We start from the raw sequence: 14,566 nt of genomic DNA on the forward strand, positions 1-14,566 counted from the left end.
AAACCCAAGAGACAGAAACTGGCCGGGCGTGGTGGCTCACTCCTGTAATCCCAGCACTTTGGGAGGCCGAGGCGGGTGGATCACGAGGTCAGGAGCTTGAGACCATCCTGGCGAACATGGTGAAACCCCGTCTCTACTAAAAATGCAAAAAATTAGCTGGAAGTGGTGGCGGGCACCTGTAGTCCCAGCTACTCGGGAGGCTGAGGCAGGAGAATGGCCTGAACCTGGGAGGCGGAGCTTGCAGTGAGCCAAGATCGCACCACTGCACTCCAGCCTGGGCGACAGAGCGAGACTCCGTCTCAAAAAAAAAGAGACAGAAACTGGGCTTTCTAGGAAAAGAAACACTGTCTGAGGCCTCAGCCCTCTGTTGAGGTTGCCTGTCCAGGATAGGAGGTGCTCTGGAAGACTCATTTTACACAAACACCACCAGCCCCTACCTCTGTCCTGATTAGAAGGCCAGTTTTCCCCTGTTCCCTTCCCTGCTCTCCAGCTTCCATCACTAACGTGTCTCCCTGTGTATCTCTAGGTAGCAGCCAGCCTAGGATTCTTTGTTCTGTCCAAATAGTCCATGCCAGGATCATCTATAGCCAGCCTCAACTCTGCCTGGCATCTCAGCGCCAGACGGATCCTGGCCTGTCTAGAGTTTCCTTAGGTGCCTTCTTCTTTACCTTATGCCTCCAGGCAGCCTTCCCTGGCTTGGTAGCCACTTCACTGCCCAATGTATGAGCCCAAAAGGAGGAGGGCAGAGGCCACTCCCAACTTCAGCCAGCCAAGGTAGGATTCCTTTGCCATCTTCAGGGCCTCATAGTGCTGTGAGAGGTGCTTCTCTCCTGGTCCTGAAAGTGAGTCCCACACTACTCCATGCTGTGCAGCCTCTGGACTTGCCTACTGTTTGGATTGCTCATGGCTGGCCTTAGATTTCTCTCCTATTGGTCCTTAAGAAACAAGATTGATTGTGTTTTACACATTTTTTCAGTGAATCAGAAGACATCAAAGAAGGCATAACATGGTGTGGCACTGTGATGAAGAGCACAGGTTCTAGGATCACACCAACCTGTGTTCAAGTCCCTGCTATGTCACTTATCATCTGTGTGGCCTTGGTCAAGTCTCTGAGCTTCAGTTTTCTCATCTAATTAATGGAGTTAGTAACAGCTACCTCGTTGTTTGTGTTAAATGAGACCACACAGGCCCATCTTTCACAGCACTGGGCCTGGGCCATAGTAAGTACACAGTGTCAGCTGATATCATTATATACAAATGCAGGAAGCTGCAGGGAGGTAATGATTAGGATCTGTATTCTGAAAATACTTGGATGGTTGGAGGAGGATGAATTTAAATGGGAGGCTACGTAGGATGAGGGAGATGGGAACTGCTAGAATAAAACTTCATTTCAGATCCACATTCACTGCAGGGATTTTGCCAGGTCCAGGCTGTGGAGATTAAACCATTGTCTTTGATGGAGACCAATATGTAAACAAGGATGCCTCTGTGAAGTGACAGCTATGTTAACAAGCAACAAAATACAGCGGTGTATGCTCTAAGAGAGCGGGGGAAGCTGGGGAAGGCTTAAACAGGAACTGGAGTCAGAACAGTTTCCCAGAGAAAGTGATGTTTTAATCTGGACCATGAAGAGGAAGCAGGGTTTCACCAAAGGAAGAGACCCTGGCACAGGAAACAACACCTGTGATATGTGGCATGTTCAGGAGCTGCAAATAGTTCTCTGTGGCTGGAGCAAAGGGAAAACAGGGTAATGAACCCAGAGAGGTGACGGATGCCAGGCTATGCTGAGCCTTATAGGATATGAATCTTTATCCTAAGAGCAGAGGAGCCACAGAAGAGCTATAAGCAGGGGTGAGTCATAATGAGATTTGCATTTTTTTAAAGTCACTCTGGCTACCCTGTGGAGAACAGATTATATAGGAAAAACAGTAAAGGTGAGGAGCATGGCTATAAATTAGAAACCTTAGATGAGATGAATAAATTCCTAAAAATACACAAACTACTGAAACTGACTCCAGAAGGAATTCACCAATCTAAATAGACTTAAACAAAAAAAGAGATTGAATTAGTAATAATAATTAAAAAAAAAAAACACCCACAAAGAAAAAGCCCAGGCCCAAATGCTTCAATGGTGAATTTTACCAAACATTTAAAGAATAAATACAAAAACTCTATACAAACTTTTCCAAACAATAAAAAACGAGAGAAGGCTTCCCAATTTATTCTGTGAGGCCAGTATTACCCTGATACCCAGAACAGACAAAGATTGCACAAGAAAAGAAAACTACAGACCAATATCTCTTATGAATATGGATGCAAAAATTCTCAACAAAACACTAGTAGGAAGAATCCAGAAACATAAAAAAAAGATTATACATCATAATAAAGTGGAATTTATCCCAAGAATGCAAGGTTGGTTTAACATCTGAAAATCCATACACTATATCAATAGACTAAAAAACAAAAACTACATGATCATTTCAGCAGACACAGAAAAAGCATCTGACAAAATATAACACCCTTTGTGATTTAAAAAAAAAAAGCTTTAACAAACTGCAAATGGAATCTTTGTTAATCTGATAAAAGATGTTTACCAAAAAAAATACAGTTAGCATCATATTTAATAGTAAAAGACTGAATGCTTTCTCCCTAACATCAGGAATAAGACAAGGATACGTGCTCTCCTCACTTTTATTCAACATCATACTGGAGGTCCTAGCCAGAACAGTTGAGCAAGAAAAAGAAAGAAACAACATCCAGACTGGAAAGGAAGAAATAAAACTCTATTTGCAGATAACATGATAGTATATATAGAAAATCCTAAGGAATCCACTAAAAAACTAATAAATGAGTTCAGAACAGTTGCAAGATACAAGATCAAAATGAAAAAAGCAATTTTCTTCTATATACTTGTAATAATCTAAAAATGAAAATAAAACAATTCCATTTATGATTGCCTTAAAGAGAATAAATAAAATTATCAAAGACTTATACTCTGAAAACTATAAAACATCATTGAAAGAAATTAAAAATCTAAATAAACAGAAAATGAAGCATCTCATGTCCATGAATTGGAAGGCTTAATATTGGTAAGATGATAATACTTCCCAAATTGGTCTATAGATTCAATGCAGTCCCTATCAGAATCTCAGCTGGCTTCTTTGTAGAAATTGGCAAACATTGACCGGGCACGGTGGCTCATGCCTGTAATTCCAGCACTTTGGGAGGCCGAGGTAGGTGGATCACGAGGTCAAGAGATCAAGACCATCCTGGCCAACATGGTGAAACTCCATCTCTACTAAAATTACAAAAATTAGCTGGGCGTGGTGACAGGTGCCTGTGGTCCCAGCTACTTAGGAGACTGAGGCAGGGGGGTGGCTTGAACCTGGGAGGCGGAGGTTGCAGTGAGCCTAGGTTGTGCCACTGCACGCCAGCCTGGCGACAGAGTGAGACTCTGTCTCAAAAAAAAAAAAAAAAAAAAAAAAAGAAATTGGCAAACTTTTTTTTTTTTTTGAGACGGAGTCTCGCTCTGTTGCCCAGGCTGGAGTGTAGTGGCATGATCTCAGCTCACTGCAAGCTCCGCCTCCCGGGTTCACGCCATTTTCCTGCCACAGCCTCCCAAGTAGCTGGGACTACAGGCACCTGCCACCACGCTGGCTAATTTTTTGTATTTTTTTTAGTAGAGATGGGGTTTCACCATGTTAGCCAGGATGGTCTCGAGCTCCTGACCTCGTGATCCACCTGCCTCGGCCGGGATTACAGGTGTGAGCCATCGCGCCCAGCCGAAATTGGCAAACATTTTTAATTCATATGGCATTGCAAGAGACCCAGCCAAAATAGCCAAAACAATCTTGAAACAGAGGAATGAAGTTGGAGGACTCACATTGCCAGATTTCAAAAGTTACTACAAAGCAACAAAAATCAAGACGGTGTGGTACTGGCATAAGGAGAGACATATGAGATCAATCAAACAGAACTGAGAATCCAGTATGGTCAACTGATTTTCAACAGAGGCGCCAAGGCCATTTAATGGGGAAAGAATAGTCTTCAACAAATGGTGCTGGGACAATTGGATAGCCACATGCAAAAGAATGAATTTGGACTCCTACCCAAACACCACATACAAAAATTAACTCAAAGTGGGTCAAATACCTAAATATTAGAACCAAAATTATAAAGCCCTTAAAGAAAGCATAGAAGTAAATCATAATTACCTCAGATTTGGCAGTGGATTTTTAGATATGACAGCAAAGATATGGGTAACAAAATCAAAAATACATAAGTTAGAATTCATCAAAATTGAAAACTTTTGTGCATCAAAGGACACTATCAGGAAGGTGAAAACCACAGAATAGAAGAAAACACTTGCAAGTCACATATCCTGTAAGAGACTTGTATCTAGAATATATTAATACAAAGAAGTCTTATAACTCAATAGTAAAGTGACAGATAACCCAGTATCTTTTAATGGACAAAGGCTCTGAATAGACATTTCTCCAAAGAAGATAAACAAATGGCCAATAAGCACATGAAAAGATGTTCAACAGGATGAGTCATCAGGAAATGCAAATCAAAACCAGTGTGAGATACTACTTCATACACACTAAGATGGCTATAATCAAAAACATAACAAGTGTTGGCAAGGAAGAAAATGAACCATCATACACTGTTGGTGGGAATGTAGAATTGTGCAGCCTCTTTGGAAACCAGTCTGGCAGTTCCTTAAACATGTGGAAACTCTACACATAAAGTTCTCAGAAGACCCAGAAATTCCACTCTTAGGCATATATACCAAGAGAAATGAGAACGTATGTGCACACATATATGGATGTTTATAGCAATATTATTCATAATAGCCAAAAAGTAGAAACAACTCAAATGTCCATCATCTGATGAATGGATAAATGGTATGTGGTATATCCATACAGTGGAATATTATTCAGCCAAGAAAAGGGAATGAAGGCTGGGCATGATGGCTTGTTCCTGTAACCCCAGCACTTTAGGAGGCTGAGGCAGGCAGATCACTTATGCCCAGGAGGTCAAGACCAGCCTGAGCAACATGGCAAAACCCTGTCTCTACAAAAAATACAAAAATTTGCCAGGAGTTGTGGTGCATGCCTGTAGTCCCAGCTACTCGGGAAGCTCAGGTGAGTGGATCACCTGAGCCTGGGAGGTCAAGGCTGCAGTGAGCTGTGATCGTGCCACTGTACTCCAGCCTAGGCAATGGAGTGAGACCCAGTCTCAAAAAAACAAAGAGTTGGGGGTGGTGAATGAAATACTAATGCATGCTATATTGTAAATGAACATTGAAAATACCATGCTAAGTGAAAGAAGCCAGTCACAAAAGACAACATATGGTAGTCATATTCCATTTATATGAAATTTCCATACTAGGCAAATCTATAGAGGTAGAAAGTAGATTAGTGGTTGCTTAGGACTAGAAGGAAGTTGGGGAGATATGAGGATGAGTGTAAAAGGTACAGGATTTCTTTTTGAGGTGATAAAAATGATCTAAATTTGACTGTGGTTGCACATATCTGTGAATATACTAAAAACCACTGATTTGTACACTTTACATGGGTGAGTTGTATGGTGTGTGAATTATATTTCAATAAAGCTGGGTTGTTTTTTGTCTGTTTGTTCATTTGTTTTTTTGAGATGGAGTCTTGCTTTGTCACCCAGGCTGGAGTGAGTGCAGTGGCGTGATCTTGGCTCACTGCAAGCTCTGCCTCCTGGGTTCACACCATTCTGCCTCAGCCTCCCAAGTAGCTGGGACTTCAGGCGCCCACCACCACGCCCGGCTAATTTTTTATTTTTATTTTTTTTAGTAGAGACAGGGTTTCACCGTGTTAGCTAGGATGGTCTTGATCTCCTGACCTCGTGATCTGCCCACCTCGGCCTCCCAAAGTGCTGGGATTACAGGTATGAGCCACCGCGCCTGGCCAAGCCGGGTATTTTTTTTAAGTGAAGGCAAGGAGATCAGTGAAAGACCACTATATATAGTAGTGTGGGTGAAATGATGGTGTGGTGGTAGCAAACTGGAAGAAATAACTGAAGAAAGAATAGACAGGGGTTGAATACGGGACTGAAAGAAGAGTCTAGGATCACTGCCAAGCTTCTGTTCATATGATGGGTGGGTGGTGATACCAGTCACTAAAAGAATAAAAACAGCTAATATTTACATAGTACTTAATTACCCGGCACCATTCCAAGCATTTTGCATGTATTAATTCATTCAGTCTTCAACAATCCTATTAGTAGGTACCATTATTATTGTCATTTTACAGAGAACAGGACCAGAGAGGCTAGTAACTTGGCTAAAATCTGATAGCTAGTAAGAGGCAGAGCTGAATCTGTTGTTCTTGTTTTGAGACAGGATCTCGCTTGGTCTCCCAGGCTGGAGTGCAGTGATTCGATCATAGCTCACTGCAGCCTCAACCTCCTGGGCTCAAGCAATCCTCCTGTCTCAGCCTCCCAAGTAGATGGGACTACAGGCATGCACCACCATGCTCAGCTAATTTTTTTAATTTTTTTTGTAGAGAGAGGGTCTCCCTATGTTACCCAGGCTGGTCTCAAACTCCTGGGCTCAAGCGATCCTCCTGCCTTGAGCCTCTAAAAGTCCTGGGATTACAGGCATGAGCCACTGCACCTGGCCAAGAGCTGACATTTAAACCTGGATATTCTGGCTCCAGAGTCCCTCTCTTAGCCACAGTACTATGCCGCTTCTCTGGCAGTAGAAAGGGCCAGATTTGGGTATAGTACACTTCCAAATTCACCACAAATATATCAATCACACACCACATTCCAGGTTGTGGGCCCCAAAGATATCCTGCCCCAACAGAAGGTCTCCCCATTCCCACTGTAGCACTGAAGACCCAGAACCCCAATACAAGCAAGTCAGCAAACTGCAGGTCCAGAGCACAGTCCTAAATGCTCAGCCTCGTCTGCCTGCACCTGTTCCAGCCTCAGTTCTCACAGCTTCACTCAACAGCCATATTCTCACAGGAGATGGCCTGGGTTGGGTGGGGCTTGGAGCAAAAGACCAGCCCAGCAGCACAAACTTGTTTCCAGGGATAGAATGGAAAAGGCCAGAGGAAAAGCCTCATTAGGAGGCAGCTGGGAAAGGCGAACCCAGTGAGTACTTCATCCGAGGAACCTCCCTACAACCCGTCCTGGCCACAAAAACAGAACTCCCACCAGTTGGCCCTGAGTCATTCATTCCCCTCCCGCCCCCAGGGAAGGGGTGATTTCCTGCAGGCAGCTCAGGCTCCTCCCAGGGGCTGTGCATCCTCTTATCTCACCCAAGGCCCTCTCCTAGGGCAGGGCAGGCAAACCAGAAGCTGGCTGCAGTGGGGCTGTCCTTGTATTTCCTCAGCGGGCCTTGGATTCTGGGGTCAGGGAGAGACCCAGCAGCTTAAGGACCACTCAGGAGCCAGGATGTCTCATGAAGAGCAGAGGACAGAGGGCTGACCAAACTGGGTTCTCTGCAGCTCTCTCCCTTGGGGTTACTACTGGGCAACTACTGGTCCTGTTTCCATTTACTTGAGTTAAACCTCTCCAGATGCCTGTTTTGAACTCAGACTCATCCAGCTCAAGACTCACACCATGCCCTGTGCCAGGCTTATAATGTTAAATGAGTGAATAAAATGGAGGAAACAGCCATAACATGCTCCTAGTCAGAGGTATCTGTGCAGTAGTTAAAAGAACAGGCTTTAGAGTCAAACAGACCTGAATCCAAATCTCAGCTCCATCCTTTGATAGTGACTTTGAACTCACTGACTCCTTCTAAGCCTCAGCTTTCTCTTCTGTGAAGTAAGGACAAAGGCACCTAACAGGGTGGTTGTATGATGAAATGAGACAATGCATTCCCACAGTGCTGGCAAACAGCAAGTGCTCCTCACTGCTAGGTGGCAGGATCCTGGCAAGAGAGGGAGTTAGGGAGGAGGGGGCAGGCCCACTCCCACCCAGCGCCTACCCCAGGAGGAGGGCCTTAAGATGGCAGTCCCCGGGCTGGATGCGGTGGCTCATGCCTGTAATCCCAGCACTTTGGGAGGCCGAGGTGGGCGGATCACGAGGTCAAGAGTTCAAGATCAGCCTGGCCAACATAGTGAAACCTCGTCTCTACTAAAAATACAAAAATTAGCCAGGCGTGGTGGTGCCTGCCTGTCATCCCAGCTACTCTGGAGGCTGAGGCAGGAGAACTGCTTGAACCCAGGAGGCGGAGGTTGCGGTGAGCCAAGATTGCGCCATCGCACTCCAGCCTGGGCAACAGAGCAAGACTCCATCTCGGCGGGGAGAAAAAGAAAAATGACAGTCCCTACTTGGGGATTCAGTTCTTATGTAGCTAGAGTGGGGGCACAGCATGTCATTTTATACATAAGAACCCCCCAACAGAGGCTCAAGTTTCTGCGGGAACTCAAAGGAAGAAAGGTTATGTGTGTGCACCCAAATGACTTCAAGGGGTGCCCTTTGGGGTCACCCTTTTGATTTGTGTCTAATTATTATGGCTCAGTTCCTATTCCACATCCTTTGGGAGGTACATGCCTTCCTGTGTTTCTACCAGGACTCTCCAAGGGTTTCCATCCGACAGGTGTCGTTACCTCTTTTCCTTTGTTCCGAAAGCACCATGAATGGAGGGTTTTGTGTACAGTACACTTTACTGGATGTCTGGGCATGCTGTAGGGAAGCCAAGCACTCACAGAATAGGGAGCATACTGAGGATTTGGCATCATCATTCTGGAATTCTCCTCAGACAGTCCTACCTGGAATTTCTCACTGGTTGACCTTTCTTCTCCTCAGGTGGCCATCTTTCACTTACCGGCCCTCCTCCGTTTTCTCTGGAGTTACCACAGGACATTCTAAAATTCCCATCCATTTCATTTCCCCCAAACTCAGCTCTCTAATGCTTCCTATCAAGGCCATGCCCAAAGGCCCATCCAGTTTGTTTCTGATCACAAAAGAGCTACAGGGCCTCTAAAAGGAATGTGAAATTGTATTTCGCTTTTTTAATTAGCCTTTTCCCCCAGTTGCATATAGTTGGGGGGATAAGAAAAGACTCCCAAGAAATAGTGACTTAGGGGCAGGCAGAATCACAAAGGAAGTTCCAACAGGCTAAGTGGGGAGGGTCTGTGCCTGGGGAAGCAATGGGAACAAGGCCCTGTGCCTAGAAAGGGGATTGGGTATGGGGACTAGTGAATGGAGCATCCTGAGGGGGAGATTCCAGCAATGGGGGTCTTGTGCTGCAGCACTGAGGGATGAGCCTTCCTCATCTTGTGGAGCTGCAGAAAGATTTCCAGCAGGAAGAAAATAAATAAAAGCACATTTGAACCTCAGAAAAAGCACTGAGTAAGGATATACCATTTGTCAACTATCAGAATGGCAAACTTAAAACTTAACGTTGACTGGCCGGGTGCAGTGGCTCATGCCTGTAATCCCCATACTTTGAGAGGCCAAGGCGGGAGGATCGCCAGAGGTCAGGAGTTCGAGACCAGCCTGGCCAACATGTTGAAACCCCGTCTCTACTAAAAATACAAAAATTAGCTGGGCATGGTGGTGCACGCCTGTAATCCCAGCTACTCAGGAGGCTGAGGCAGGAGAATCGTTTGAACCTGGGAGGCAGAGGTTGCAGTGAGCTGAGATCGCACCACTGCACTCCTGCCTGGGCGACAGAGTTAAGACTCTGTCAAATCAAAAACAAAAAACAAACAAAAAAAGTTGACAAAGATGTGGGGGAAATACAGCACCCTAACACGCTGCTAAGTGTATAAACGGAACCATTATATTTATTTATTTATTTATTTATTTATTTATTTATTTATTTAGAGATGGAGTTTCACTCCTGTTGCCCAGGCTGGAGTGCAATGGCACAAACTCGGCTCACCGCAACCTCCACCTCCCGGATTTAAGCAATGCTCCTGCCTCAGCCTCCCGAGTAGCTGGGATTACAGGCATGTGCCACCTTGCCCGGCTAATGTTGTATTTTTAGTAGAGACGGGGTTTCTCCATGTTGGTCGGACTGGTCTCGAACTCCCAACCTCAGGTGATCCGCCCGCCTCTGCCTCCCAAAGTGCTGGGATTACAGGTGTCAGCCACCGCGCCCGGCCGGAACCATCATTTTAGAGAGACAACTAGCAATGTTGAGAAAGAGATGAAGCGATAGAGAATCCTAGTGCCTAAAGCTACCTGTCCCAAACTTTCTAACTGGAAAAAACTGTCAGTTGTTGGGAAATCTGAAAACATGGGGAGATAAAGGGCAAGTGCACAGGTACGGGCTCACGAGAGCCAAAAGCCAGTTATCTTCCCAGCTCACTGCTTAGTGACATCATGTTAGTAGCTTGAAACAGGCCATGACGGAAGTATTTACACCACAAAAAGCAGCAAATGCTACCAAACAGAACACCCTACCTCACCCCGGCCAGTTTGTCAGCACACTACAGCCTGAGCCAATCCTCATCCAGCAACCTCTTGAGTTCTCTGAACAATCGCTACCCAGAGATCAAGTACCAGTTTTATAAGCCAGGTCTTTGGCCTTACATCCCAAAAGGAAAGCCTAGGCCTGCTGAGCAGCACTGGACTTTCAAGAGCCTGCCGGACTCCTTCACCAAAGCAGGCAGACCTATATGGCCTCCTTTCTCCTAGATATCCCAGTTCCTGCTTGATTTTCTAAAGAAATCAAGGCCTGGGCCAAGTGTGGTGGCTCACGCCTATAATCCCAGCACTTTGGGAGGCCAAGGCAGGTGGATCACGAGGTCAGCAGCTCGAGACCAGCCTGGCCAACATGGTGAAACCCCGTCTCTACTAAAAATACAAAAATTAGCCAGACGTGGTGGCAGGCGCCTGTAATCCCAGCTACTTGGGAGGCTGAGACAGGAGAATTGCTTGAACCTGGGAGGCGGAGTTTGCAGTAAGCTGAGACCATGCTATTGCACTCCAGTCTGGGTGAGAGAGCGAGACTCCATCTTTAAAAAAGAAAGAAAGAAAGAAAGAAATCAAGGCCTGGAGAAGACAGCTTTTTTCAGCTGTGTGGAAGCAAAAGAAAATGGGAAAATGACAGGGACAGAGAGTGGACCGCCTCCCATGCAGAAGCAGAAAGCCCCTGTCTCAACTCTCTTGACAGTCATACACAAGCCCCTTGCAGTCTCTGCACCTTTAACCGCTATTATACTGCCTCCCTGTAGAAGACACAGGACTTAGACGTAGGTGTAGAGGGAGAAGGAAGGTTTGAGGATAACTCTCAGGTTCCAGGCTTAGGAGCCTAGGTAGCCCATGAGAGATGCAGAACAGAGCTTGAAGAGAGGGCCTAAAGGGTGTATGGGAGTTAGTTATATTTGGGGCTTGGTGAATTTGAAGTGCCTATGGGACAACAAATAGAGATGTCTGATTGAGAATCTGAAGTTTGAGAGACTGATGAGATCTTGCAAGTTACCAGTGCGTAGATAGAGTTGAAGCCATGAGATCACTCTGGCAACAGAAAAGGCTGAGCAGGGACACCTGGAGGCAGCAAGATTTAAGAGAAAGAGCAACCACAGAAGGAAACTGAGTGGGGACATGATAGGAGGTAGGAGGAAATCAGGAGAATGTGACATTGGAAGGATGAAGATTATCAAGTGTTGCAGAAAGGTTGAATACGAAGAGGATTAAGATGAGTGACACAGTGAGACGATTTTGGCTGGCTGAGAGGGAAGAAAGAAAGCAGGAGATAAGATTCAAGTAGGCAGGGGCCAGGTCAGGCAGAGCCAGACATGGCATCAGAAGGCGTTTGAGTGGTATTCTAAGTGGGAAATCTTTGGAGGATTTTAAGAGGGGAGTGAAGAAATCTGATGTGCATTTTAAACATACCATGCTGTTGTGCGGAGGACAGGCTGGGGGGCGAGGGTGGGAATGGAGGTGGGGACACCAGTTAGGAAGCTATTACAGTAACCCAGACTTGGATTAGGACGGTAAGGGTGGAGGTGGTTAAATGTGTTCAGATTCAGTGTACATTTTGAAGGAAGGTCTGACAGGACTTGCTAATTAATTGGATGTAGAATGCAGAGTAAGAGAAAGACAGGGATCAACAAGTATGGAAGGTGTTGGTTCGAGCAACTGAGTAGGTGGTAATGCTATTTACAGAGGTAGGCAAGGCTAGAGGAAAACAAAATAAACAGGGTTAGGGGTGGGAATGAGAATCCAGAGTTTTATTTTGACCACCTTAAGTATAAGATGCTTGCCGGGTGTGGTGGCTCACACCCGTAATCCCAGCACTTTGGGAGGCCAAGGCAGGTGGATCACCTGAGGTCAGGAGTTCGAGACCAGCCTGGCCAACGTGGCGAAACCCCGCCTCTACTAAAAATACACATACAAATACACGCCAGGCATGATGGCAGGTGCTTGTAATCCCAGCTACTCGGGAGGCTGAGGCAAGAGAATTGCTTGAACCTGGGAGGCAGAGGTTGCAGTGAGCTGAGATTGCACCACTGCACTCCAGCCTGGGCAACAAGAGCAAAACTCCGTCTAAAAAGAAAAAAAAAAAAAAGTATAAGATGCTTTTATATATGCAAGTGGAGAAGTCAAGTAGGCAGTTGGCTATCCAAATCTGGAGCCCAGGGAAGAAGTCACAGCTAGAGATACCATTTGAAGTCATCAGCATACACAGAGCATCAAAGCCATGGGACTGCATGAACACTGAAGTTGTGTTTTCCCTCTCACTTGATCTCACAGAAGTTTGGGTAGCCCTTGCCTGGGGACTGGGGAAGGCATCCAAAGTCATTACCATCAGTCCTCGTAATGTGAGAGCCAGGTACAGCTAAAGACAAATCTGAGTCAGGGACTGCTTGCAGAGAAATGGTGCCAGAGAAACTAAGACTTCACAGGAGAGCTGAAGGTGTTCCATCTCCTCCTTGATACTGAGGATACTTAGTCTGTACAGCCAGCAATGGGAGCCCTAGCTGAGGCCTGAGGGGCTAAAAATGGGAGTTGATGTGGCTATGCACCCTCCCCACAACTCACCTCCTGTCCCCACCTCCACCCACACAAGAGTCAAGCCTCCTAGAATTGGCATAAAATCCACATACAGAGCAGTCCCAGGAGGAGGCTTGGGGTTCAGTGACAGGAGATGAGCACAGGCTGAAGAGCTGAGACCAGCCATCCACTGAATTTTTTTTTTTTTTTTTTTGAGACAGAGTCTTGCCCTGTCACCCAGGCTGGCGTACCGTGGTGCAATCTTGGGTCACTGCAACCTCTGCCCCCTGGGTTTAAGAGATTCTCATGCCTCAGCCTTCTGAGTCGCTGGGACTACAGGCAAGCACTACCACGCCTAGCTAATTTTTTTGTATTTTTAGTAGAGACAGGGTTTCACCATACTGGCCAGGCTGGTCTCAAACTCCTGACCTCAGATGATCCACCCAGCTCGGCCTCCCAAAGTGCTGGTATTATAGGTGTGAGCCACTGCACCCAGCCCCATCCACTGATTCAGAGCAAACAGGATAAAAGTACTGAAGACCATTGCTTCTCCAACTTTAAGTTACATTCAAACCATCTAGGGATTTTGGTAAAATGCAGGTTCTATTTTTGTAGGGGCCAGCTCCACAGGGTCAGTGGGTTTTTCTCCCTGTGTGCAAAGACGAGAGATCATAGAAATAAAGACACAAGACAAAGAGATAAAAGAAAAGACAGCTGGGTCCAGGGGACCACTACCACCAAGACGCGGAAACCAGTAGTGGCCCCGAATGCCAGGCTGCGCAGTTATTTATTGGATACAAGACAAGGGGGCAGGGTAAGGAGTGTGAGCCATCTCCAATCTGAGCAAACAGGATAAAAGTACTGAAGACCATTGCTTCTCCAACTTTAAGTTACATTCAAACCATCTGGGGATTTTGGCAAAATGCAGGTTCAACTTTAATAGGCCTGGGGTGGGGCCTAAGATTCTGCATTTCTAATAAGTGCCCACCTAATGCTGTTGCTCCTGGTCTACAGACCACATTTTGAGTAGCAAGGGATTAGAGGCAGCCGTGGAGGCCACCCATAATGGAGAGGGCATTTCCAGTTCCAGGGAGAATGTGTTTATTCATGCGCAAAGTCACAGAACTATTAAAGTGGAAATACCCACCATTTGGCATGGTTGTGGGGCAGAGAGTTATTTCTCAGCAGATTAGCCTCCCAAGAGCATAGCACAGCATGGCTGTTATGCAGGTGGGTTCTGAAGGTTGACCTCCTGAGCTTTATGTCTTAGTATGTAATCTTGGGCAAATCTTTAACTTCTCTGTATCTCCGTTTCCTCATCTCTATAATGGAAATAACAAGACTATTGTGCGGATTGTCTAAGTGAATGGATATAAAGTGCTTAACACACGGCAGCATAGTAAGTGCTCAGTAAAAGTTGCTATTCTGATGCTATTATACCATTCTATAATCGTTAGCACAGATACAGAGGCTGAGTTGCCTTTTGGTACACGGTCAAATATACAACCCCCATCTCCCTCACACCAAAAGGCCTGTGTCCTCTCTTTCAAATTCCTCCTTCCCTCCTGCCCACTCCCCCTCCCCTGGCCCCTGGCCCCAGTGTGGTCTGGATGGGCCCCAGAGGGGC

This window comes from Homo sapiens, chromosome 1 (genome assembly GCF_000001405.40).
Source record: "Homo sapiens chromosome 1, GRCh38.p14 Primary Assembly".
NCBI classification, from domain to species: domain Eukaryota; kingdom Metazoa; phylum Chordata; class Mammalia; order Primates; family Hominidae; genus Homo; species Homo sapiens.